At 40.1% G+C, this 27,959-nt stretch overlaps 1 protein-coding gene across 20 annotated transcripts in view; it reads right to left on the reverse strand.

Moving 5' to 3' along the window:
* The window catches only part of LZTFL1 (leucine zipper transcription factor like 1), a 92,409-nt gene that overhangs the window by 3,432 nt on the left and 61,018 nt on the right, over positions 1-27,959 (reverse strand). For 3 of the 20 annotated variants that reach the window (NM_001405920.1, NM_001276378.2, NM_001405923.1), the window contains 8 exons: positions 11,180-11,304; positions 8,843-9,037; positions 7,491-7,551; positions 6,303-6,374; positions 4,326-4,391; positions 4,166-4,243; positions 1,692-1,868; positions 609-712 (listed from right to left, as the gene is read on the reverse strand). In NM_001405920.1, the coding sequence (NP_001392849.1) occupies positions 609-712; positions 1,692-1,868; positions 4,166-4,243; positions 4,326-4,391; positions 6,303-6,374; positions 7,491-7,551; positions 8,843-9,037; positions 11,180-11,304 (878 nt within the window). Of the gene's footprint in view, positions 1-608; positions 713-1,691; positions 1,869-4,165; positions 4,244-4,325; positions 4,392-6,302; positions 6,375-7,490; positions 7,552-8,842; positions 9,038-11,179; positions 11,305-14,947; positions 27,791-27,959 lie in introns of those variants that run through there. The other 17 variants (NM_001405925.1, NM_001405927.1, NM_001405926.1 and 14 more) reach the window with 14 other exon arrangements.

Raw genomic sequence — 27,959 nt, forward strand, 5'->3', positions numbered from 1 at the left:
CATCTGATGACCACATCTGGACCTGGAGGACTATGAATGAACTATAAATACATGGTGGGAGCCACCACTTTAGGTTTCCCCCTGTGCGATGAGTTCTTTTAACTGGACATACCCTTAACTGGGTATCATGTGACTGCTAAGAGAGATACTAATCCTATGTAGAACACGGACTTCTAAGCCAAGCTGGCTATGACACCCATCTGCATGAATCTCATTCTCTCCAACTTAAACTGTCATTTAGGGGAACAGTAAGACCAGTTCTTGGACTGCTTAGAGTATACCACCAAGGAGAAGAGAACTACCTAATGCTGCCCTGCGAGCTTGCTGTGTTTCCTGTCTGACATCCTGCTAAGTGAATCCATTGCCAAGAGCAGCTTACTGTAGGCCTGTGTGAGTCTAAAGGCCTAGATGAACCTAAAAAGAAGCCCTGGTGGGCATTATAGATAAGGTCAGGCCAGAGCTCCTCCACTTTCCTCAAATGAAGGCTTCTGGACTAAATGATCCAGCAACTACCACCGGCTTGACCTCTCTGGAACAAGCTTAGATTTAACAGAGAACAAACATCAATCCAGAGAGAGAAATCCAAAGGCGGGATCAGTGTGGCTTACTGTGCCAGTCTTTTCCTCAGATCTTTGATTTGGTCATTCTTCTTGGTAAGAATCTCTTTCATGTTTCGATAAGCTGCTGTTTGCTGAAATTTCTTTTCTAATTCCTGCTTAGTAAAAAATGTCAGCCCATTACTAAAAAAATAGTTAAGGAAAGAGATAACAAATGCGATAAAAATATGTAGTTTTTTTTGCTTGAATTTTACTAGTATTTTGCTAATGATTTTCTAATTTCCTTAAAGGACACATTTATATAAAACTAAGACTATCCAAACTTTAAAAATATATTCTTTCAAATGAGAAGCCATAAAATAGTAACATTTTCCCAAGTACAGTGTTGGTAAATAACTCAAGCCCTGGATATGATAAATCTATTTGAAATATTAAACTAATTTTCCTGTAAAATAAGCACACTTTTTTCCCAAGTCCCATAGTAGTGTATTTTAGCAAAATGATTTTTAATTTAGTTAAATTTTAGCTCCCATATTCTTTTTTCCCATTTTTTATATGAAAAAATTTTTAATTTTTTTATAGAGATGGGGGTCTTGCTATGTTGGCCAGGCTGGTCTTGAACTCCTGGGCTCAAGCAATCCTGCCATCTTGGCCTCCCAAAGTGCTGGGATTACAGGCACAAGCCACTGCACCCGGCCTCAACTCCCATATTCTTAAGAGTCTAATCCCCAAAGTGAAGAATCTAGCTCTCTACATATTTTATATAAATTATGACAAAAGTATAGAAGTCCTTAAAAAAAACAGTCCCTCATCCCTCTGCAGGCTGTGGGAAGAAGGAGCAGAAGAGCAACATGGTGGGATGTAGGGCAGGATTCAAGCCACCTACAGAGGAGCATTTCACTACACCATAGAGGGAGAGGAGATGTCTTATTATCACAGATATTTTAGTACCAAAGATGGAAGAATATCAGTGCCCGGAAATGATTAATCTTTAGAACATATTGGCTAATACCTTGAGAAAAAATAATCTGAATTTGCAGTTGTCCAACGTTTATCTTAGCCACATGTATTCCTCTATACTGTGTGCATTAATCATGCATTAACAGACAAATCCCTTAAACATGGTCTTCTGACCTTTTCAGCCATGTGCAGCTGCTCCTGAACCCTGAGTAGATCGTGCTTGGCTGTCGCCAGATTCTCCTCCAGTGACTTCTGGTTTTCTGTCTTGTCATTAAGTGTCTTCTGAAACTCACTCTTTAAGGCAGCGACAGTGTTTTCTAAGTTACTTAAGTCTTGGGCCTTTATAAAATCCTATGAAAAATAAATGCATGCATGTAATTTCATGTTGATATTCTAAAAATAACTGTTTTAGAATGGTGATTCAACATCATAGGAGATGAAAAAAATGATGTATGTTTTGTGTGCATGCCAGCCTCCCTTGCCAGCCTAGGTAAGTGCCAGCCCCTTCAGAGTCACCAGCAGGCCAGTCCATTGTCAGCCCTGGGTACGTGGTGTCTTGCACACAGCCGACACTCAGTAGCCACTGAATTCCAAATACATAAAATATGATTTGTGAACTGCTGGTATTTCCATCCAAGATGTGTGTACCAGGGTTGAGATGGCAAACAGGTTTCATTTTGAAAAGCCAAATTTAAAAAAATCCTCAAAGAAGTTTGAATTCTTCAAAATGATAGAAAAAATGATAAAAGTAATATAATTTATACCAAAAACTTAATAGACATATGTTTTAGTCATTATTTACAAGGAAATAATATGAGAGCACAATTACTGATTACATGGTTTTCTAAATTTTTAAGATTTTAAGTTTTTTATATTCATGAGATATGTGTAATTTTTGCATACTTTGACAACTATAGCATAAGACAGGCACTGGATCTTCTCTCTTCCTGGATCTTGTTTTTGACTGGATAAGATTCATGACAGAAAAAACATTTGTACTGATAAGACAGTAAAATGGTCTACAATTGGTTAATATGTAGATGAAGAAATACTTAGTACTTTCAAGTGGCTCTCACGCCTGTAATTCCAATACTTTAGGAGGCCAAGGGAGGAGGACTACTTGAGCCCAGGAAATTGAGACCAGCCTGGGCAACAGAGCAAGACCCCGTCTCTACAAAAAATATAAAAAATTAGCCAGGCATGGTGGCACATGCCTGTGGTCCCAACCACTTGGGAGGCTGAGGTGGGAGGATCGCTTGAGCCGGTGAGGTCAAGGTTGTAGTGAGCCATGGTTGCACCACCGCACTCCAGCATGGGAAACAGAATAAGGCCCTGTCTCAAAAGAAAAAAAAAAAAAAAAAAAAAAAGTACTTTCAACAGAAGAAAAAAAAAATCTTTCCTCATTTTTGAAATCTGGTCTTTGAAAAAAAGATTTTCATTGCAACTAATAAAAGCACGTATTCACTGGTTGTTCTTGTGTCCAAAATCTTAAAGTAAAATTGGAGCAAAGCCCCAAAAAGCTTTTAAACAAATTCATCAGCCACATGTGTTTGCAATTGTTTGACTTAGGAGAAATTATAAAGCGGTTCTGGAACATTCGTGTTTTTATAAATCTATTGTCATTGGCATATAATGGTTGAAAATCATTAGCTATATAAGAAGTATCCTCCTATTTTAAAAATATCTACAGATAAAATGGTTCAACGTCTGAGATTTGCTTCAAAAAAACATGGCTGGTGGGAAGAAGAAAGTAGAGGTACAAATGAAACCAGACTGGCCATGCATTGGTAACTGCTAAATAGAGTGAAGAGTGCATGGGGGTTCATTATACTATTCTCTCTACTTTTGTGTATGTTTGAAATTTTTCATAGAGAAAAGATTAGCAAAAGCCCAGTGAAGCAGATTTTGGGTTTGTTTACCAGACATTTGCAATGAGAGTATGACCACTAGAAAAGCCAATGCTGTACTGAATATCTACCCAAATGGTCCTGCTCACAGGAAATCATACTGCAGCATGCACACTCAACAGAAAGTCCACAGGAGACAGACTGTACATACAATGACTTCCCGCAGGCGGAGTGACATTCAGTCATTACATTCAGACAAGCATGAAGAACTACAACACTGGATTTCATTGTACTCTATGGTGCCGGCGGGTACAGACGCATCTGCAGATTCATAATCATTTTGTCACACTCATCAAAGGCAAACTTAAGTAATGTTCAGTATAATAAAACCCAAATATAAACCAATTAAAAACTTTTCTTTTCATTTTCTTTCCCCTCCACTGTAATTGGATGTCAAAGTGAGAGGGGAAACTTAAAAAAAAAAAGTGAGAATATCTTGCATACCAGGAAGATTGTAGAAAAACTTAAAAAATAAATGTGAGAATATCTTGCATGCCAGGGAAACTGCAGGTGTGTGAGCTATGTACTGTCCCCTCTGCCCTAGAGGATGGACAGAGGGAAGGTCACTGGTTCTCACCAGGCCTTTTGGGGGCAAGAATGTCCCAACACATGACAATAGAGGCATTTGTCTCAGGGAGTAGCAGGGGTGGGGTACAGTGAGCAGTAACTAAGACTTAATTTTAAGTTTATAACTTCATTCTACTTAGAAAATGTGAGAAAGGTAGCTAAAACTTGTTTCACCTTTTGATTTCCTTGATCAAGCTGTAAATCTTGCAGTGCTTTTTCTAGTTTTGACTTTTCATCCAGTGCATTTGTAGCCTATAGTGAAGTTTAAACAAAACACTTTCAGTATTTAATCTGTAGGCAGTTCAATAATTGTGTCAAAACATTTCTCAGTTACCTGTATTTCAATGGTCTTCAACCTTGACTTCAATTTCTCATTCTCTTCTTGAAGTCTTAAAATTTCCTTTGTGAGTAAATTCAAATTTTATTATATTAACCAAAATATTTTAATATTTGAAATTATTACTTGTTTCACTTAAAAATCTAATTTTTAAATTTAAATTACATAATAGCTCAAAAATGTACTACTGATATTTTGGTAATATCCCAATTTCATCCAGCCTATCAGCCTCAGTATCTGTGAGTCAGCTTTGGATCTAAGACATCTAGTTTCTTTTCTTTCAGTTTCTCAGACACATCTTCCCTCTTTCAGTCCTCTGTTTTCTGTTTTCAAATTTTTTTCCAAAGACCCGCTTCCCTGCCAACTTTCTCCTAGCTGGTCCTGCAAATCCTGGGTCTATTCTCAGCCTACACTGCACACTGTTGCCCCTTATCCTGAGAACTCCTTCACTTCAGTACCATGCTCAAGCCCACAGATGCTTCTGACTGAGGTGAGGCCAAACACTTTTGTTCTTATACAGCTCAAACATTTGAATCATCTGTGTTATTTTTCAGTAGACTCAAATAAACACATCAGCCCAGTCAGAGGGCACTGCACTCTGTTTCAAGTCATGCCGCCTCCTGTCTGACCACTGCCTGTTCTGTTCTCCTGCCCAACACACTCACTTCTCTTTCCTCTACAATTTAACTGGTCTTCATCCTTCAAGGCCCAGCTTAGGTACCCCTTTACCCAAGAGCCTGTTCTCACCTACTGTTATCCACACACAACTGAGTCTTCTCTGCTACCCAGTATGACACCTGTAGCACACAGGAGAATATTCTCTGGTCTCTATTTCTAGAACATCAGTTCTACTTTCCCAATAAAACTATTACATTTTTGGCCGGGCACGGTGGCTCACACCTGTAATCCCAGCACTTTGGAAGGCCGAGGCGGGCGTATCACAAGATCAGGAGATCAAGACCAACCTGGCTAACATGGTGAAACCCCATCTCTACTAAAAATACAAAAAATTAGCCGGGCGTGGTGGCAGGCGCTACTCGGAGGCTGAGGCAGGAGAATGGCGTGAACCCGGGAGGTGGAGCTTGGAGTGAGCCTAGATCACGCCACCGCACTCCAGCCTGGGCGACAGAGCAAGACTCTGTCTCAAAAAAACAAACCAACAAACAACAATAAAAAACCCAAACTATTACATTTTTGAGGGCAAGGGAGCAGGTATTACACTGCTTTTTATTTCTAACAACATCTAGCATAATGTTGAGAATACAAGGGTCATGAAAAATAGCTGAAATCTGAAATGCTTCAACATCAGAAACTTTCTGAGTGCTGACATGATGCTCAAAGAAACTGCTCATTGGAGCATTTCAGATTTCAGATTTTTGGATTTGGGATGCTCAACTGGGGTCTGTATAATGCAAATATTCAAAAATCTGAAATCCAAAACACTTCTAGTCCCAAGGATAAGGGATACTCAACCTGTGCTGATAAATAATTTTTTTTTTTTTTTGAGATGGAGTCTCGCTCTGTCGCCCAGGCTAGAGTGCAGTGGCGTGATCTCAGCTCACTGCAACCTCTACCTCCCGGGTTCAAGCAATTCTCCTGCCTCAGCCTCCCGAGTAGCTCTGACTATAGGCACGTACCACCACACCCGGCTAATTGATAAATAATTTTTATAAACTTAAAAACCCTTCTCCTTGTTACCGCAGATCACAAACTTTAAATGTCCATCAATAAACGCTGTCCAAAATTTCATGCTCTTCACTTTACCTTGAAAAGGTGTGATCAGGAGCTACTTCAGGCTCTCTAGAAGGTTAAGTATGCCCTCTTCTGGCCCATGGGGTACCATCAAGTAAAACTACTGCAATGGACTAATTATCCTCAGAGGACCTGAAACAAACCTTCCACTTCTGTTTCTCCACCCTAGGCAATGACAGGACAGAATGAGAGACTTTCCGTTTCTCAAAATAATAATATTACCTTGTTTAGGAGTTCTGCTGTTCCACCTTCATTAAGTGGAGCAAGTTTTGGCTTTGTGACATCTAAGATGGGCTGAAACAAAATAAAGAAACCAAACTGAAATCACCACAGAATAAAGCATGTATAATCATTGAACACTTGCACTTTGCAAGTGGAAGATACTATATATAAACATATTCACTGCGATGTCAGTTCCACAGGTGTGGAGATTTCTGTTGGTTTCATCCTTTGTTACTCCCAGTGCCTAGGATATGCCTGTCCTACAGTGCCCCATACATGTTAGAGACAAAAATAAAACCTATCTTCCCTGTATCTTTTAAAAATATATAGATAGAAGGAAAATGAGGGAAGAAAGGAGGGACGGAAGGAGCTCAAAGCCAGATCTGATATAGAGCCTAGCATCTAGCAACTAGAATTTTAGCCTGTGGGAGCTGAAACAGTGATTTCTACATGAACCTTAGACTCTGTGAAAAACAATAATATTGATGAAGATCTAGGCAAGTATAATACAGATAAACAATAACTTGGCACAAATAATATAGTAGTTTAGTAATATATATTAAAAATAAAATAATTCATGCCCTCTGATCCAGAAATTTCTTAGCCATAAATATGACCCAAAGGAATAACTGGAAAGTATTTTGCATGTGTATGTACATAGATTCATCTCAGCAGTATTTATCCAACAATGGAGTATTTACGGTGTGCCCGTGAAGTGGAATGGTAAGTGGCCACTCCAATTAATGAGAATGATTAGAAAGAGAGGTAGATAACTACTAGTATTGTCTCCATTTGTCAGATGAGTAAAATGAAGCTCAGCTACCTCAGATAACCTGCTCAAGGTAACACAGCCAGGAAGTGACAGAGCCAGGATGTATACCCAGGTGTGGCTGACCCTACAGCCTGCGCTCTGAATCTTCTGAGTAGAGTATTTATGAGTGGGATTGAGACTGAACTTAGGGATCATGTGTATGTGTAAGCCATCACAGACAAAAGCAGTTTTTCACAGTTACTTCCAAAACATTTTTTCTTTTGCCTGAAAATATGATAGACAATTTCTGAATTTTACTCTTGAATTGAATGCTTTTCCTTAAGAGTTCTCAGTTTTGATCTCTGAATTCTTTGAGCAACTTGAGGATTTTAAATACTGGCTATTAAGATATGGATTTAGAATGACCAAAAAGTTACCTTTTTGTTTGAAGATGTAATCTCTGCTTTTTCAAATTCTGCAACTTGTTCTAATAATTCTCTTGAAGAAGAAAGCAAAGATAAAAATTATTCATTTAAAATAGATTTATATCACACGCAAGAAGAGTAAAATCACTGGTACCAACCCATTACATGCCAGAGAGAACAGAGCAAGATGGACCAAACTTCACCATATCAAAAATGTTAGTTGCAAATGGTTGAGAACCTAAACCACATGGACTCAAATGTAATCATCCACAGTACCTGGCATTTTGTATCTACTAGGTATGCAATATCTACTGCTAGAAATAAACCATAATGTTAATACAAATATGAGGAAAATTTATAGTCAACTTTGTATTCTTGAGGTGCTATGAGGAGACTGTTTTATTACATAATGTGTATTGTTAGCTAGTAGGTGTTCAAAAAAGATTCTTAATAAAGTAGTCTCAGAAAAATGAAAATAGTCCATAGTATCTACTGAAAAAGAGTACCACAAATTCCTAGGAAAGACAGATAGTGGGGGTGTGCCATCTGAAGATTTGCAAAGGCCAATGAGAAGTGACTACACACAAGCTTAGAGTGTTAACAGCAGTCAGCTTCTAAGCTTCTTAAAGCACCACCTTCTCAGAGTTTTCTCACCAGTCATCTACTGACAGTGGCAGAAGTTCAATGATTTTCCTCCCCAGCTCATAGGTTGTCCTCAGCGTTGTTCAACACTCTGCATGTGAACTGATGTGCTGTGACTGTGCTTAGAGTAGTTCACGGGGCTTGGCGGTCAGTCCTTCCTGATTTCTGGCATGCTTTTTCTTAAAATGAGTTTCAACTTCACCAATTTTACCATATTTTTTGAATTTGAGCTCTTAGATGTCCATATTATAAGCTTTTTTGTATATTTCCTATTTCAAAGTTAATAAATGTATACTTTTAAATTCCATTATTTAGAAAACTTCCAATGCTACTGGATTGAATTGATGGTATTTATTATATTTGAATTGACTTTTCAACTGTCTCATAATCTCTATTTCTTAGTTGACCAATCTATAAAGACTGATGGTAATACTGACCAAGCTAACAAAAATGCTGTAAGAAATAATTAATGATAGCCTGAAAAGCAATTTCATAAATCTCGATGGCCTTTGTAATACCTAGGAACAGTAGAAACAGAGAACTTTTAAAAGGGTGCTTAGTGGTACCCAAGAGATCACTCAGTGACTCAATGCTTTGCTGTTACCCTACCCAAATTTCCTCACACACTAGCCCCAAGAAAATATGCAGCCAAAGATGTTCACTAACTTTTAAGATTATGCTTGGGCCATTATTGTCACAGTTGCAAGTTCAAATTTTATTACCGGTTTTCAAGTTCAGAGATGTCTGTCTGTAGCTTAAGATACCACTTCTCAGCTTGTGCAAACAGCTGTCGCAGAAGTAACACATTGGTATAGGCAGTGTTGATGAGCTCAGATTCCACCTCACTATGAACCACAGCTTGTAATCCATTGAGGACTTCAGAGACTTCATCTATGGTGAAGGTGTCCTCCACCAGCCTGAAAAACAACCATGATCCAAAACTTATAGAAAAACAACAAGAAAAATCTACAAAATACAGCAAAATTAAGAAACCCACATTCATGTAATCTAAGAAATTCAAAGATTACAGTGAAAATCTCTCTGGGAACTATCTTCTTTATTAATAAACATTGAAAATAATTTAAACTCAATTAATTTTTGACATCTATTCAAATGATTAAATTGTGCACATCCTTTAATACAAGTAAATGCTCAAACACATTCCCAAAACCATCATCTACTTTTTTAACTTTTTAGTATTAAATGTCTTATTTCAAACTCCACTGAAATCAGTCTTATTACATTTAATAATTTCAAAAGTCACCCGGAAGGCATAGTCTCATTTCTTTCTAATATTTCTCTAACATTTTAATAACTGTATGAACTATTCACAGGTTAGTAAACGTCTATGGGAAATAAATGGTAATTATATATATTGCTTCTCTTTGCATTCTTGAGACCCAAAATAATAATAATAATAAAAACTAGCTTATCTTAAAGTTCTACTGAACACTCCACAAAAATGAATATCATCATCAACAATAGCATTAGAAATCTACTCTCAGGGCCAGGCATGGTAGCTCATGCCTGTAATCCCAGCACTTTGGGAGGCAGAGGCAGGTGGATCACTTGAGGTCAGGAGTTCGAGACCAATCTGGCCAACACAGCAAAAACTCTTCTCTATTAAAAATACAAAAAATTACCTGGGTGTGGTGGCACGTGCCTTAATCTTAGCTACTTAGGAGGCTGAGGCAGGAGAATCGCTTGTAACCAGAAGGTGGAGGTTGCAGTGAGCCGACATCATGCCACCGCACTCCAGCCTGGGCGACAAAGTGAGACTCCGTCTCAAAAAAACAAACAAAAAAACAAAACTACTCTTACATAGAGAATGCTTGGGTTGGAAGAGAACTTTGGTGCCATCTTCTACAATCCCCTAACTTTACAGATAGGAACACAGGTTTGAAGAGTGGAGATGACTTGCCTATGGTTACATTGGTGGTGACTAAACCCCACAATCATCTTCAGCAATGATTCTGGGCAAAGGATTCATGCCCAACAGCTAAATCCTTGAAAAAGCTTCTGTGTGTGCCTTCCAGTTTCAATGACAGTATCACAGTAACACAGTCCTCTCCTCTCCCTACCTCTACCCTCCAAAGTCCCTTCTCCCTCAGATTCTCAGCAGATGAAGAGCAGCTACCGCAACCTCAGCTTTATTTTCTTCCCTACTTCCAAAAAGACATCATCAAGCAAGACCCAGTTACACTAAAGCATTATCATAGTTAAACTCAAGTTAATAGTATTTGTTTTATAATTCTTTAATGTTTCATCTAGCCAGCAGAATTTAGTCATTCTCAAAAAACCACAACTTTTTAAATATAAATCCTTATTAAAATATTAATAATCTTTCTATATTCTTCAATAGAACATATGTTCTCGCCAATTAAATTGTTGCTTTCATCTGCTGGGGGATAGGAAACCAGATTACCAGATGAGTTTAATGGACTGAATGGTCTAAGGCTGATGGCCTCTAATACTGAGACATTCATGAGTTTATGGCAGCTGGAGCTCACTTGGAGGTCTTTTTCACTTATATCTGACTTGACATTCATCTCTTGCTACAAATCAGCTACGGTCCAACCATTATCATCTCATGCTAGAAATCAACTAACAATTTTGGTACTAGTCAGCATTATGATTTCCTGCTGTTTTCCTCTCTACTAATTATTCAGTATGAAACACAGAAGTGTTTTCTCACTAATTGCCATGTCTTATAGCTCTAACCATTTAATTAATAACTCAAGTAATTAAAGTTCTGGAATCTTCAATACAACAAGCCAATCATTAATCCACAAACCCTTGGCAACTTCCTTCTCAAACTCTGCCATCCTACAATTATCCTACAATTATCACATGCATTTCTGACAATAGATTCATTGCTTTCACCACAATACAACTTCTTTTGTTTCCTGTATCCATGAGGCTTAGTGTAGCTGCTCTTAGCAAATAATTGATCATGATGAATCCCAGAAATTGTCTGGCCTCTGCTATGGCACCCCCATACTGGCTACCAGAAAGAATCCATGTTCCTATTTGGTTTGCTTAGAGTCCTCCTCTGATACCTGCTCTCCTTGAGGTCTTGGAAGCAGGAATCTACAGTTTTGAGTCTCAAGCCTCTCTTTGAACGAGCAAAACGCATATAATTAATAACTTCATTTTGATGGTGCTCATTTAGGCCCAACTCTGCCTGAAAAAGAAAGAGGTAATTTAATTGTTAGTTTTGAAGATCTGATCAAAGAGCCAACAATGAAAATGCATAAGATATCCTGTGGTCGAGACTGCTAGATCTCCATCAAATTCTATTCTTCCCTTCTTCCTGGCTGCATGGCTGCCCACCTAGATGACACTTCCTTGCCCTCCTTGCAATCAAGTCACTGCTGACTACTTCTCAGCAATGAATGTTGTGGTCTACTTCCAAAGACCTGGTCTTAAGATATGGGGTGTACCTCTGCCCCTCCCTGTTTCTCTGAAACCTGGAAGAGGTGGCGACTTGACTGAATCATGCAGACAACATCAATGCCCTAGAGGCTGGGGGAGCCGCAAGATGAAAGGGCCCCACGTCTCTACCTCATGGAGAGGCACTGACCCTCTCACTGAACTGAGATGAGCAGTGAGATGGCTGTTAAGTGAGAGCGAAATAAACTTCTGTATTCTTCAAGCCACTTAACCTTACAGCAAAAAACAGCAACTCTGTTATAGCAGCTTAACCCTTACCCCATTAAATACAGCTTTAACAAGTATATTTGATTTGGAAAGAACCACTAACTGGTCTGTACTTTAAACCAGATGACAGCTTGACAAATATTTAAGAGGCAAGCCCATGGAGGTAGGGCTAGCACCCAAATAACAGAGCAGGTCAGCAGTCAGCTAAGAGCAAGGCATCAGCCATGTTAGTTGGATTTGTAATTAAGCTGCTGATGAGATTTACAAAGCAGTTTAGGTGGCATAAGTCTTTAAGGTCTGGAGGATAGAATGGAGATAGCAAGAGTTGAAGGGAAGCAAAAGGGAAATCTCTAAGGTACTCAAGTACAACAGGTTACAGTCATATATGCACTTGAGTTGTGAATAACAAGACAGATTTCTATTACACACTAAAAATAATTGACTACCTACATTAGAGACAATATTATCTCTGATAGTCACACATTAGTATGGGCAAGAATATCCCACAATTTAGAAATATCACAAAACAATGTCACAATTTGCTAAAAACAAAGCATAAATACAGATTCTTTTTTTTTAGAGACGGAGTCTCGCTCTTTCACCCAGGCTGGAGTGCAGTGGCGCAATCTCGGCTCACTGCAAGTTCCGCCTCCTGGGTTCATGCCATTCTCCTGCCTCAGGCTCCCGAGTAGCTGGGACCACAGGCGCCCACCACCACGCCTGACTCATTACTTGTATTTTTAGTAGAGACGGGGTTTCACCGTGTCAGCCAGGATGGTCTCGATCTCCTGACCTCGTGATCCACCTGCCTCGGCCTCCCAAAGTGCTGGGATTACAGAGGTGAGCCACCACGCCCGGCCCAGATTCTTAATAATTATTCACTGTCTATAGTATTACATTTACACTCTTTGCTCTCCCAAAACCTCCCAAACTCTCTTACCCTGTTTCCCAGGATTCTACTAAATGAACACTCTACTTTAGCCACACTAGTCTGCTCATCAGTCCTGAAACATGACTTAAAATTTCCTGCCTTGACTTTCACTCATGTTACTCTGATCCTAAAGTATCTCTCCATTCCTATTTGAGAATCTGAATCCTACCCAGTGGTATGATGGTAAATATTTAACAGCAGGTTTTCTAGGTAGGGGGGCCTGATTTGTAGCACTGCTGATTTCCATGGCATAAATACTTCCATCATGGCTGATTTCAAGCCACCAATATAATGTCACTGAATGAAGAGGTAAGAAGAAATGCATACAATTGGATCTCACCAGCCAGTACACACATGCTCCACCACATCACTGAATTCCTACCCACCCTTCATGGCCTAACCTGTTTCACCTACTCTGTGCCATCTCCCAATATGCCCTCAGTAACTCTATAGGTATGCCTTCCTCCAAAACCTAGCATATATAATCTCTGCTACTTCTTTGGTACCGTCACAGGCTGATTACTACCTCGTATTATTGATTATCTTTTTTTTCAGGTCTTGCTCTTCCAAGTAGATTGTAAACTCTATGAGGGCATGAACCATTTCTTATAATGCACAACACCTAGCATAGTGCCTTGTGCCAGCAGGTGGCCAATTCCTATCTGTTCATTCCTTTCCCTCCTTTCAAGGAAAGTTAAGACTGTCCCAGGACCAAGAAGGAAAAATTACTCAAACTGAGAAGGGTAAATGACAGAAAAGTTCCTTTAAAATGGATTGGAATGAAGAAAGGGGGTAAAAGTGGACAGCTGAGTTCAAAAGGAAAAATAGCATCAGCCTAGGAAACGGCTATTCACAAACCTTTACTTCCACACATATACTATATGTATCTATGTCAAATCATTAGAGAGGAAATGGAATAGGTAGATATGTGGTATAATAGACAAAGCACTGGATTAGAAACCAGGTTTAGGTCTAGCTATGCAACTATCTACCTTGGTAACAGTCTGTTACCAAGTCACTTAACCCCAATGACATTAGTTTTACTATCTGCTAAATGAGAGGTAGATATGATGATCAGTCCTAAAATGGTTAGAAACAATGGGAGGTATCCAAGTGGGGAAGTCAGAATTTGTTTGAATTTTATTGTAGAAATATTCCGTTAAAATAATAATAAAAAGAGCTGAAAACATACAGCAAGAAATCCTGCCAGAGCATTGCCAAGCTAGTGTCTTGAAATTGTACCACAAATTGTGTATGTGTGTTTAGGGGGAAGGGGATAGAAGAGAAATGGGTAAGGTACCAGAAAGGGTTCCCTGTTCTTAACCATGCCCACAAATCCATATACAATTTAAGATAAGTACAAGGAGGAAACTGTAATGATAAAAATGAGCACAGTTTAATAATACCTATCAGATACTGAATGCTTAATATTTTCACAGGTACTGCACTGTTTACACGCATTATCTTACTTATCATATTAACAGTCTTGTGTAGTTATTATCTGCAATTTACTAATGAAGAACCTGAGCCTGATTCCAAAGCCTCAGTTGTTAACTGATGGAAAGGAATGACAGAAGATAGAACAGGAAGAGATACCAATTTTTTTGTGATTTGTTTTCAACGTGTTCTCCTGATATTTTAGGGAAATCAAGAGAATGAGTGGAGAGGCTCTAAACTCAAGAAGGGGAGGGAGCAATCTGTTTAGCTCACAGGTGTCTTCTCAGCTCCCAGACAGCGCTTGGAACACAGTGTGGACTAAATAGAAATTCTGGTTGCTGAAGTATTTCAGTAGCTATTTCAGGTGGTGCTCTCAACCCTGGTTTCATCCGTTTTCCTGAACATTTCAGTGCTGTGCACTGTTCTAAGTATGACTGGTATTTAAGATGGCATGCTATATTCGCTGGAGGGATTAATGATATTTTTTGAGCAAGCCAAAACAAAGGAAATGTCACCCAAATTCCTCAGCTGTAATACGGGGTGCTGGGATTCTTAAAGTCACCTCCACATCAGAAAGTTGGATTTCAATCACACAGAAAGCTGGATTCGTTCTCCCTGCTCCTCTGGTTACCGCGCGCGCGCGTGTGTCTGTGTAAACCTTAGAGCTTCCTGAAACTGAGTGAGAACCCTGCGTATGTGTTAATGTGTGTGTGTGCGTAAACTTGGAGCTTCTTGAAATAGAGTTAAGAACCCTGCCGTGCACCTTAGGCCGGCAGCAGTTTCCTCTATCTCTCCTCACCTGCCACCTAAGAGTTGTGCCTTGGCTCCAGCCCCCGCAGGCAGGAGAGAAACGAAGCGATGCGGCGGAGCTGGGCTGCTGGGAAAAGGCTTCACCCAGGATTACCCCAGAAGGGCTTGGGCTGCGGTTAACCGAATCTCTCGCGCCCGGCGCAGCTCCCCTTCTCAGGGAGGCTGAGGTGCGGCCAGACCCAACGAGGCCACGTAATCATTCCGGGCCCACCCGCTCAGTGTCTCCAGCCCCGGCCGCGCTCTCTCCTGTGCGCGGTGCGGCGCCTGAGGGTCGGTTACTCACCATGGCGGCAGGCAGCGGCGGCAGCCTAAAGGAACGGGAGAGGCCAGGCGGTGCCCCGCCAAGCCTGGGATCGCCGAGGGTAGTTGGACCACAGAAAATGGGGAAGGAGGGTAGGTTGTTTAGAAGCCTCTGGTTGCTAACGGAAACCGAGGCACGTGGACTGCAATTATGCATTTTCATTGGTCCTCAGGATCACGCGACAGGAAGTATTGCGTAACCGGTTGACTGCCACATGCGCATTGGCTTCCAGGGCCGGAAGTCCCACCTTTTTGTGCCAGTTCACTTTTGGGAGCTGACTGCAGTTGCAGAAGGTAGCGGGAGGGTTGGGCTGCCTGGAGTTGCGTGTGGCCACCAACGCGCTTCGCGCCTCGTGGCGTCCGCTTATGGATTGTTGGGAAGTTCTTGTCCAGAACTTCCTGTGGCATAGGTGACCCCAAGGATGAATGGACATCCCAGACCTTTCAATGGTCTCATAGGGCGCGGCCCAGACATTTTTTTTTTTCAGGAGTTCCTACCTGAGCATCAGGGTGGCTGAGACAGGCCAACAACACCAATGCCAGCAGGTTCTCAAATAGAGCTTCAAACGACCCCTCCCCATGACTCCGCCCATTATTATTACTGTGTTGTTATTATCTTCTCTTATATTTCCAGCTAAAAGTCTCTAGCAACATTTTTCCATTTAAAAAAAATGCAAAAAGCATGGGTTTTCTCCGAGAGCAGTGAATTTCAAAAGGTTCCATATGCCTGGAACTACTATGGAAGCTTGTTGAACAAATTCCTGGGCCTTATCTCCAGAAATTCTGATTCACAAGTCTAGCTTGGGTCCTTGGGATCTGCACTTTTTAACCGATGTTCCAGGAGTGATCACAGATCAGGACCACTCTTAGAAACACTGGCTTGGAAGGACAAGTGTAGGATGAGATCGATTATTGCAAATACCAGGGACTCAGAGTCCTTCACTCACATGATACAGAGGTGATGTGCAGGCATTTGCCCACAGAAGGATCTCAAGCCTTGGGTCAAGAACAGTAAACAAGGTTCTCCTGTGTGTCACCTGGAGCATTCCAATGCACGGAATGATGGCCTGAAGGCAGTGGCGTGGGTATGCCCAACTTCAGCTTTGGCTAGGCTCCCTACCCTTGGCACTGCAATGGCATTTGGGCAGGATCCCTGTCTTCTTGAAAGATTCCTAAGGGCAGATTCTCTCAACCCTGAATATTAACCCCTTCCAAGCTCAGTTAAACTTCCCCTTTACCATCCCACCTCCCCATTTCTGTTTAGTGAGTGTTGTTGAATTTGGTTGCCATTATTTAGTGCCTACTATGAGCTATTAATAGACACATTCCATTCCAGTAGTTAATCCTCATAATACGTGGTTCTTTCCTCTGTAGACATTCGTTGTGTTCACATAGTGAGAGGGTCACTTTACAAGGTGTTGTGGGTGCGAGATGAAGTTCATAAAAACTTTTATGACTGATCAGTAAACAAAGTTGGTCATCAGCTTGCACTGCTGAAAAGCTCGTTTATTTTCTCCCAGGCCAAATCTTGTGATTGCGAAGTGTTATCAATTCAAGGGAATGAAAGGAGCGTGTGTATAATGCAAATATTACATTTGTGGCTTGGGGATTTTAAAATTTGTTCTGCAAAACTCCATCAGCTAGTTATTGTAATTTAAAATTCTGCTTTAATCTAAAATCTTCTATACCAAGGAGGTTAATCACCATTAGCCAATCTACCCAACAGAGTTGAGTGTTGTTACATAAGCTGTCTAAATAGTGTCAGCAAATCTGAACATGAATTTTAGTCTCAAAAGTGATGAATTTGGCTCATGAAAAGGCTGAACTTGTACTTCAGGTTGTTTACTAGTGCGGGTTGGTCACCAAAGCAAACAATTCGAGCCGTGAGGGAGAACAGCTCCATCCTACTTTACTAGTGATCTTCTTAGGCTCTGTTTTTATTTATTTTAATTGCTGTGACAGTTTTTTAAAATGTGTGTATGTGTGAGTGTATGTGTGTGTGTAAATTTGGAGGGAGGCACACAAGTCCATTTTTTACCTTTTAGCAGAGTTCAACATAAATAAAATGAAGATAAATTCTTTTTATATTATTATGAAATGAGACTTATGACTTTATAAGTTCCCAGTCATCATACTAAGACCACCAGTTTCAGGGTGTTTGCAACCTAGACTTGGCAAAAGGAGGAATGGAAAGCTGATCATGGCCTCCTCAGGGATGCCAACAGATTCACTCATTCTGCCACTATTTACAGAACCCCTGTTGTGTGCAAGGTTCTGTGGCCATGATAGTGAGTCTGAGGAAAAAATCTGAGGGGAAAATCTGAGGGAAGAAGTGGAGGGACTCAGAAAGCCCCAGCTGCCCCTGCACTATAAATTTTGGGGGGATGCAGGGGGACTAAGGTGAGGCTTTACTTAAGTAGAAAGAGGAAATGAAGAAAATGATTAAGTAAAAAAAAAATAGGTGATACACAGAAAATGTAAAAATCTGAAAGGTTATATGGGAAAGAGAAAAGTTTGATAAATATTGAACTGGTAGTAGGTGGAAAATAGGGGAAATTATTTTAGGACATTATTCTTAAGAAGACAGGATCTTTGCAGCATGGCTTCTTGCATGAAGTTCTACCATACAAGTTCTCTTCAACTTCCCCATCTTGCCCCACCTTGGCTGCTGAGAAAGTAGCCAAGACCTTATAGAAGAGAAGGGCCCAGATTACAGGGCTCTTTACAGGAGATATGCATTTGAGTAGGCCTGAAGTAGGCAAGAGGCTATTTTCAGTTGCTTTCAAAACACCCTAGTGACCAGCAGGGTATTGGAGAGTGCTGACAAACTAGATTAGTGAAATCACTATCACATGCATTAAAGCAGGTCAAGCAAGGAAGTGGTTCACCATAAAATACAACTCCCTCTAAGAATGTGTGGATGTTGGCAATTACTTAGCCCAAATGATAGATTAGTTTCACTGATAATCTCAATGCATTAACAACACCCCAAAGGGAACAAACACCGAAACCATCAAAATGAGAAGTCTACCTCAAAAAATTTTAAGAATTGGTTGTGGGGAATACCTTCTTGTAAAGTACAAGAAAAATTGATTGTAAAGATGATGATACGCACCAGCTCCTCTTTCCATACTCCCTTATGCATATACATTTCAGTTAAACCCACAAGCTCAGTCTGTATATTCAGCAGCTGTTAATGGAAATCTGGATACTCGCAAGACACAATGGGGAAGGGAATAATGAACAAGATGGGATTGGTCTCTTTCAAAAATGGCCTTATAATCAAGTGAAGGGAGAATTCAAGCTTGCAGAATAATTTCAAAGTAGACAGTAAGTAGTAGGGTAGTTCAGAGAGGGTGCGAGATAGTTCACTTCTGTTGAGGCTGGAGAGGAGAGATTCAGAAAAGTCTTCCAGAAGGCAGTGGAATTTGGGCTAGGTTTTAACAGGAGTGTGGAAAAGTTGGGGATGAGTGTGATGATTGTGAAATTGAGAGTTGTCTTGGACAGGGAACCAGAATTTTCATCAGGTGCTGCAGTAGAAGTGTCCAGAGATGTACATTTATTATTATTACAAGTGGCAAACTACAAAAAGAGATATACTGACAGCTTATACAAGGATGGAGCACCTTTAAGAGTGTCTTATTCAGAAATGTGGGTCTTCCTAGATCTGTGGTCTTCACTAAATGTTTCCATGGACTTCTGGCAATGTAAGGGTGTTCACCAATTGCATTTCATCATAGAAAATGTAAACAAAAAATTAAATTTGCTCAGAAAGTTTTGCCTACAAAGCTGGGGCTGTGTAGTCCTATTGGAAGAGCTGAATAGCTGTGTCATGAATAGCTGTGTTCATGACTGGAAGTTTTCTCAATGGGATGGATAAATAAAATATGAAAAATAAAGTGAACTCAAACGGAAATGTCATTTTTAGCCAGCTTATATGAGTTTGTCTTCCCAACTACTATGTTGCAAGCTCCTTGAAGGAAGAAATATTTATTATATAATAACATAGTATGGCTGGGCTATAAGAAGCTCTGAGCTATGCTTGCAGAATTAAATTGGAGATAAACAGGAACATCTCAACAAACATTTGTGAGTTCCTACTGGGTTCCAGATACTGTGTTTGTGGGTTGCTTTTGGCCCTGGACATGCCCTCTCTTGGAAAGCATATCATAAGGCAGCAGACATATTCAGCTATCCCTGTTTCCCATGTTAAATGTAACTTTGAGGTGATTTATATAACTTTTAGGAGTTTTTGAGAATGAATTATTTAGTTCTCATGACTTAACCCTTATGTTTTTATATAACTACTGTTTGAGTTCTACTTTGACTTAATGCTACACTTTGAAGACATTCCATAAAACAATTACTAATTTATATTTTGTGGTTTCTTTTAATATTTTGAGCCCAAGCATTTACAGTTGCTCCTTGAACAACACAAGGGATAATGGTGCTGACCCCATGCACAGTCAAAAATCCACATATAACTTTTGACTCCCCCAAAACTGAACTACTAATAGACTGCTGTTGACTGGAAGCCTTACCAATAACATAAATAGTTCATGAGCATACATTATGCATTATATGTATTATATACTATATTATTTCCATAAAGTAAGCTAGAGAAAAGAAAATACTAGAAAATCATAAGGAAGAGAAAATATATTTACTATTCATTAAGTGGAAGTGGATAATATAAAAGTCTTCATTTTGAATAGGTTGAGGAGGAGGAGGAAGAGGAGAGGTTGGTCTTGCTGTCTCGGGTGGCAGAGGAGAAAGAGTTGGAGGAGGTGGAAGGGGAGTCAGGAGAGAAAGGCACACTCGGTGTAACTTTATGGAAATGCATAATTTCTGTCTGACTTTTTCTTTTTTGTTTATCTAAAAATGTTTCTACGTGGTACCAGTCCTTCTTCCGCCATTTGCATGTTTCAGTGCCTGCATAATAGAAGGGTCCATGTCATAAAAGAAGTCAAAATCAGTCTTGAATAATTGAAACCATTCTTCCAGATTGTCTAATGTCAATGTGTTTTCTGGCACTACTTCTACATCTTTCTCATTATTTGGCACTGGTTCGGAAGCACTTATCTCCATCAACTTGTGTTCAGCTAATTCCTCTGGTGTGGTGTCTATTAGCTCTTGAATCTTTCTCCAAGATTCACACCTTGAAACCCTTTGCCCCTGTTCTTATTTTGCATATCTACAATCTCTTTCATGGTTTCCTTGTTTGGCTGATGCACAACATCCAGACACAGTTTTCTCCAGCTATTGTTTCAGGGTTGATGGCTTTCATGGCTTTTCCTGTAGCAAAGATGACATCTGCAGTGGTGTGTAATCTTTCCAGACCTCCATGATGTTGTCTCCGCTGGGGTTCTCCTCCACAGCATTGACAATCCTTTCCATAAAGAACCATGTGCAATGAGCCTTAAAGGTCCTTATGACCCCCGATCTAGAGGCTGAATTATAGACATTGTGTTTGGGGGCAAGTAGACCACTTCAACACCTTTGACATGGAACTCATGGGGTTTTGGGTAGCCAGGGGCATTGTCCAATATAAAAAGAAAACTTTAAAAGTCAGTCCCTTACTGGAAAAGTACCTCCTGACTTCATGGACAAAAGCATTGATGGAACTAATCCAGAATAAGGGTGCTTGTTGTCCAGGTCTTCTTGTACAACCAAAAGATTGGCAGCTGGTGTTCACCTTTTTCCTTCAAGGCTCAGAGATTGCAGCTTTATAGACAAGAGCAGACCTGATCATAAACCTCACTGCATTTGCACAAAACATTGGAGTTAGATAATCCTTTCCTATTACATTTTGGTGCTCATTTCTCTTCTTTATGAATAAATGTCCTTTGTGGTATCTTTTTTCCCAGAATGGGGCATTTTCATCTGCATTAAAAACCTGTTTAGGCAGCTATCCTTTCTCTTCAATACTTTTCTTAGTGGTGTCTTGAAACTCACCTACTGCCTCTTAGTTGGCAGAAGCTGCCAACTAAGATATTTTTAAAGCCAAACCTCTTTCTAAAATTATCGACCCATCCTTTGCTGGCACTAAATTCTCTGGCTTTAGATCCTTCATCTTCCTTTTTCTTTAAGTTTTCATATATGACTTCACTTTTTCTCAAACTATATTAGAGATGCCTTTCTTAGAGCAATCCTATACCCACATAAAAGCTGCATTTTTAATACAAGATAAAAAGGTAGTTCACCAAAAGTACAAGGTTTTTGCAGCAGCTTGAGTAGATGCAGTGACGCCTTCATGAATTTCCTTTTCTTCTTTTTTACAATGGTCCTTATGCTGGAGGGCAGCTGCAGCTGCAGACCTAAATCTATGGTACATATCAAGTAATTCAACTTTTTCTTGTAATATCATGACTTTGCTTACTGGGAGTACTTCCAGCATCATTAGTGACACTTTGTATGGATCCCATGATGTTATTTAAGGCTTACAGTATTGCGCTACACACAAAATATGCAAGAACTGCTGGAAATCACTTTTTTACTATGACACATAATTTACTGGAGAGATGAACTGCTCAGGTGGAGATAATTAGCCTCATAGCTATTTTAAGCTGATACTTGAAACACTTGAGCTCATTGCACTAGCAACAAGAGGTGGCTACAAAATTATTACATTAGTACAAAGTGTACTACAGTTAATTGTATGCAGTTATGATTTAATACTGCATCTTTATGTTTGTTTACATTTCTCTCTGCTGTGAATGGTGCCATGTGGTCTCTAAGTGTTTCTGTTCATAAGTTTTGATAAATTTTATATTTTTGTAATAGATTTGTGTATATTTTAGGGTAGTGAATTATAAAATAGACCAACCTTTACATATATTTTATGCATTAATTAAAATCCGAATTTTTTGATATTTCCGTGAGTTTTTTCAAATAGTCAAAAATCTCCAAAAATTTTTCCAATATATTAATTGAAAAATATCCATGTATAAGTAGACCTACACAGTTCAAACCAATGTTGTTCAGGTGCAACTGTGTATTTCTGATTTCAAACATTTTTATAGGCCATCGGCCCTGTGTCTAAAGTGTCTATCGGTTGTTGGGAGAACAAAGATGAAGTAAGGTCCCTGCTCTCAAGGATGCTAACCATCCAGCAGGACAGACGGACCCATTAGAGGATCATGTCATGTCAACATAATGTGATCACCTTTTAGGAAACCAGGCAAGGGGCACTTAGCTCAATTTAGGGTTTCAGGGAAAGCTTTGAGGAAAATCCCTGAATTGAACCTTCAGGGATTAGCAAATGTTAGCCTGGGAGAAGCAAGGCAGAAAGGACAGAGGGAACATAGCAAACACGGGCACCAATACCTGAAACAGCCCAGCATGTGGACTCCTTACAAACGCTAAGAGATTAAATGTTAGATGAGCTTTTACTTTTAGAAGTCAATATTGCCAAAATGTCACTGCTTTGCTAAAAATATTAAGCAGGAAATGAATGACCTGGGCAGGGAAAAAAATAACTGAACACACTAAAACCCAGGGTGATATAAAGAAAAGTTACATATCTGGTCTAGTGCTACCATTGAAGCTAAGACACCAATCTAAGGGACTAGTGTTAAGCTAATTGGAGAATGTCTTTCTAGGAATGGAGGGAATTTATCTGACTTCCACCCGGTCAGCCTGCAAAACTAACCCAAGTACAGGGATAGCAGAAACGTGGTAAGAATGTCTTCATTAAATCATCCACAAAAAAGACTGTGGAGAATAACTTTGAACAGCTAACATACACAGAACTGATACTTTTCGTGTATAGAATTGAAGATAAATGGTTCCCAGTTGTTCTTATGTGATATAATTTGGTTTTATTTTAAAATAGTGAGACTGAATATAAACCAGAAGACAACATGAACTTAAATATCTGCATATATAAGGCAGAAAAAATTTGCATTTTAAGAGATTTAATGTATGAATTTCTATACTTGATTTTGTGTAAGAGAAGCCGTGAAAACCATGGAGATAGTTGTTTTTACTAGGATCGCTGTCGTGTCCACATAAGAAGGTTCTATTTGTGTGTTGAGAGATTTTTCCATGTGCCCATTGTATTTGTTACTTAGAATTTACAATATTTTGAAAACTTTCCCCTTCAAAATGGATATATATTTTAAAACCTTCTACAATGTGAGTAATTATAGTTTAATTGATTGCATATTTACTGTGTTCCAGTAATACATGTTTCATGTCTAACATGCTATGTTTAATCCTCAAACAGCCTCATGAGATGCATACTATGATTACTCTTATTTGTGAAGAGAGAATGGAGGCTAAGTGAATGTAGGTAACTTTTACAAGGTCATGTAGTGAGTCGATGGAAGGACATGCATGAGTATGCAGAGGCTACCAGCCAGATACACAGTCTCCCCACTCCCTGCAGAATGGAGGGACTTGATGGTCTCACTCTCACACCTCCTCCCCGCAGCACCACCATGGAGAGGCACCAGTACACCTTCACTGGGAAGCTCCATGTGGACCATTCCTTCCTTTTATCCATTCTCGGATGCCCTGATTCCTAATTCCCTTGATTCACATTCAATCATTTCAGTGTCCCCAAATTGCCTGATAGAAATCCTAATCAACACTTTTCCTCTCCAGCTTCCAGTGACTGCCTTGTGGGATTCACAATATATTTCTTGATGTCCTGAGATCATCAGCTTTTTCCTCAAACACTCCTTACCAAAGAGGAAGCTTCCTTCTCTCCACCCTCTCCCTCCCAACACCTGTACCTATGGGTGGCTGGTAGTCTGTGCGTCCTTCACAGTCACCTCCTGACCCTTGAGTGAAGCCAGCCGCTCAACCAGCCCTCCCTCAATGAAGCTCTTGTTTCTTGCTCTGCTGCTCCCTCTTCTCCATCAACCCTTCAGCATCCAGAACATTCACTCATTCAAGCATACTCAATCAGGCCTTGGGATTTCTGCAGGTGACCTGCAGAATGGCTCCACCCTATCTTGCCATCCCTGATACATGACCCACATAGCACCCCTTTGTCATGGCTTTACCTGCTGTTCTTCAGAAACCTTCAGCTCCAATTCACTTCAGGACCTGTCTGCTCCCCACACCCCATCATAGCCAGCAGCTGTTCCACGCCTTGTTGAAATTTTGAACTCGGAAATGCTTCTCGCTAATCATCACCAACTCTCTGACCACTGCTCTAACTCTCTCACTCCCCTTAAACCTTGCCTCTAACTTGATTGTGATTTAGCTGTGATTTTTTTTTTTTTTTTTTTGAGATGGAGTCTAGTTTTGTCACCCAGGCTGGAGTGCAGTGGCATGATCTCGGCTCACTGCAACCTCCGCCTCCTGGGTTCAAGCGATTCTCCTGCATCAGCCTCCTGAGTAGCTGGGATTACAGGCACCTGCCACCACGCCCAGCTCAGTTTTGTACTTTTAGTAGAGACAGGGTTTCACTGTGTTGGCCAGGCTGGTCTCAAACTCCTGACCTCATGATCCGCCCGCCTCGGCCTCCCAAAGTGCTGGGATTAGAAGAGTGAGCCACCGTGCCTGGCCAGCTGTGATCTTCGAAACTTCTATTTTCTTCTAGCCCATCAGTCCTTCTCTTTGACTCATTTCTCTTTGGTCTCAAGTCAAACCTTTGTGCAATCATTTAACTATGAGAAGTTTCTATTTCTCACCAGACCACTCAATTTTAATATACTGATGGATTCCAACCTTAAATTTTTCCCAGCCAGGTGCGGTGGCTCACACTTGTAATCCCAACACTTTGGGAGGCTGACGCGGGAGGATGGCTTGAGCCTAGGAAGTGAAGGCTGAAGTGAGCCATGATCACACCACTGCACTCCAGCCTGGGTGACCCTGTCTCTCATTTTTTTTTTGTTCTTGTTCCCAAACTAGAGAAGTCACATAACTAACTATATTGACTTCATAAAAACTTTTTGACATTTTTTCCCCAATTTTCTCTGGGCTTTTTAGATGCCTGGACATTGTGGGTCAGCTCCTGCTCCACTCCACCCAAGTGGCTATCTCCTAAAGCATTCCTAGTCCTGACACGTTCATCTCCCTCCCTTCTCTTAAATCTTAACATATGATCCTCCTGCTACTTTTCTAGAAGGGAAGTTCCCTTAATATCCCTAACCTTCTGCTCAAAGAAAGTACCTTTATCTATAAGCAAGGAAATATTTAAAGAGTATTAACACTCAGTAGTGTCTGGGGCATGAGGAAAAAGGCACTCTTAAAAACTGTTGATAGGAGGATAAGCTAGTATGACATTTTTTGGAGGACAGTCTGGAAATTGTCATCAAAACTGAAAAGGTACACACCCTTTAAGCCAGCAATTTGCCTTCACTTCTAAGAATTTATTTAAGAAACAACAAGACCACAAAGATGTATGTACAGAGATGTTTACAGCAGCTTTTTCTGTGGTAAAAAGTCTTGAGATAGTTTAAATGATCCTCTTATGGGGGACTGACTAAATGAATTATGGAGCAATAAAAGAGTAGTTTTCTGTAGCCGTCAAAAGAACAAGGAAGAATCCATGTGCACGGACATGGAAAAATTTCCATAGTATATAGTGAAAAGAAAAAAAGTCAAGTTGGAGAATAGTAAGATCCCATTTTTATAAACACACATACATGCAAATTTGGAAAGGTAAAGCAATAAATTCCTCACATCAAAATGTGGGAAGAGGTGCTAGAGTGGCAGTAGGGATGGGAGGTGGTTGATCCCTACTTTATATATGTCTGTAACTTGAATTTATTTCTTAAGCAGACAGGCATTACTTTTACAGTTTAATAATGAAAAGAGAAAACAAAAGGTAAGACAAAAGCAGCTTTTGTCACTTTTTCCATTGTTTTATGTGCTCACCCCAATCAAGGCACCTTCTTTCTAAGAGCCAGTATTTATTTCTGTTCTCTTTAAATCAGAAGTTAGGCAGACATTTCAGGCCATGAGACCTAGATTGGAAACCACTCAAAGGAACATGCCCTTTCCTCTTCAAACACTGTTACCAACATTTAGATACTTTCATTTTGGTTGCAGCCCACTATTTTTAGCTTTTTCTTCTTTTTTTCTCCAGATGGCTGAAGAGACCGAGGCCTTTCACACTGAAGGTGGGGTAGGTGGAACAGATGGAAGGGCTTTACCTGTGGTCGATTAATTGTTTCATAACCCTTTTCATGAGCTTTCTTTGAGCAGGCATGCTTGGTTTTGGTAAAGTCCTGTCAAAATTTCTTTGATTTGAATTAGATGTACTGGGCAGGTCCCATTCAGATATTTAATAGCAAAATTAAACAGAAAGTCACCATATATTTTTTGAGGGACACAAAGTTATATCATGTAGGAATATTATGAACATTAGGTTCACTTTCTTGCTACACTAGGGGAAACATCTTTTTTTGGGGCAAGGTGCATAGAAATTTTGGTGTGACTTACTTTGAGAGCAATGATTATCATTCGTGGTTTACTATTTACTCTTTTCACAGATATAGAGAGCAAAATTATTAAATGTGTAATAAGTGTCATGGGGCTACAAAAAGATTCTAAGCTCTCATCTTTTCCTCTAGGACACCCATGTATTTTCTTCTCTTCTTGCTCTACTGATTCGCAAGAACTCTTGTCCAGGGTTAACTAGATCCCATTCTCATCTAAGCCCTTCTACCTCTGCTAGGACCAAGCTCCATCAATTATCCCTTAAGATTTTTCTTTTTGGCTCTATATCTTCATTTTCTTCCCTTTTCTTTGATCCTTCCTCAGTTTAAAGTCATTCTCAAGTCTCCTCCACATTAAAAAAGAAAACAATGACAAACCATAAACAATGATAATCCATAAACAATGCTAAACCAACCCTTTCTTTGTCCACACCTTTTCTATAGTCAGCTGCCCTAACTTCTCCTCTTTATTGCTAAACTTCTCCAGAGAGTGGCCTCTATTGACTTCTTGCACTTCACCTGTCATTCGCTCTGCATTTTGGCTTTCTTCTCCTCCTCCCTACTGAAACAGACTTCTCAAAAGCCATCAAATGAGCTGATGGCTGCCAGATTGAATGCCTTGTCTCAGGTCTGCACCATTTTACACTATGGACACCTCCTCCTTTACAGTTTCCTGGGCTTTTGCTACTCTGCCCTCTCCTTTCTGTGGTTTCTTGCTGTCCATGTTTGGCTCCTCTGCTACACACCCCTGAACATTGGTATCCCTTGAAAATTCTCCTCAGCTGCTTTGTTTTACCATGTATCAACCTTGGCTGTGTAATTCCATTCATTCCCAGGGTTTCATCTGTTGCATCTGAGGATGACCATCAAATCTGCATCTCTGGCCAGGTGCGGTGGTTCACACCTGTGATCCCAGCACATTGGGAGGCCGAGGCAGGCAGATCACCTGAGGTCAGGAGTTCGAGACCAGCCTGACCAACAAGGAGGAATCCCGTCTCTACTAAAAATACAAAATTAGCCAGGTGTAGTGGTGCATGCCTGTAATCACAGCTATTCAGGAGGCTGAGGCAGGAGAATCGCTTGAACCTGGAAGGCGGAGGTTGCGATGAGCCGAGATGGTGCCATTGCACTCTAGCCTGGGCAACAAGAGCGAAACTCTGTCTCAAAAAAAAAAAAAAAAATCTGCATCCCCAACCACACTTCTCATTTGCATTCCCAATTTATATTTGCAGGCGCTTACAGGTATTCTCCAAGTGGGATTCTCAAAAACTATTTACATTCAACACATCTAAAGAGAACTCATAA

The sequence above is a fragment of the Homo sapiens genome, chromosome 3, assembly GCF_000001405.40.
Source record: "Homo sapiens chromosome 3, GRCh38.p14 Primary Assembly".
In the NCBI taxonomy this organism is placed as follows: domain Eukaryota; kingdom Metazoa; phylum Chordata; class Mammalia; order Primates; family Hominidae; genus Homo; species Homo sapiens.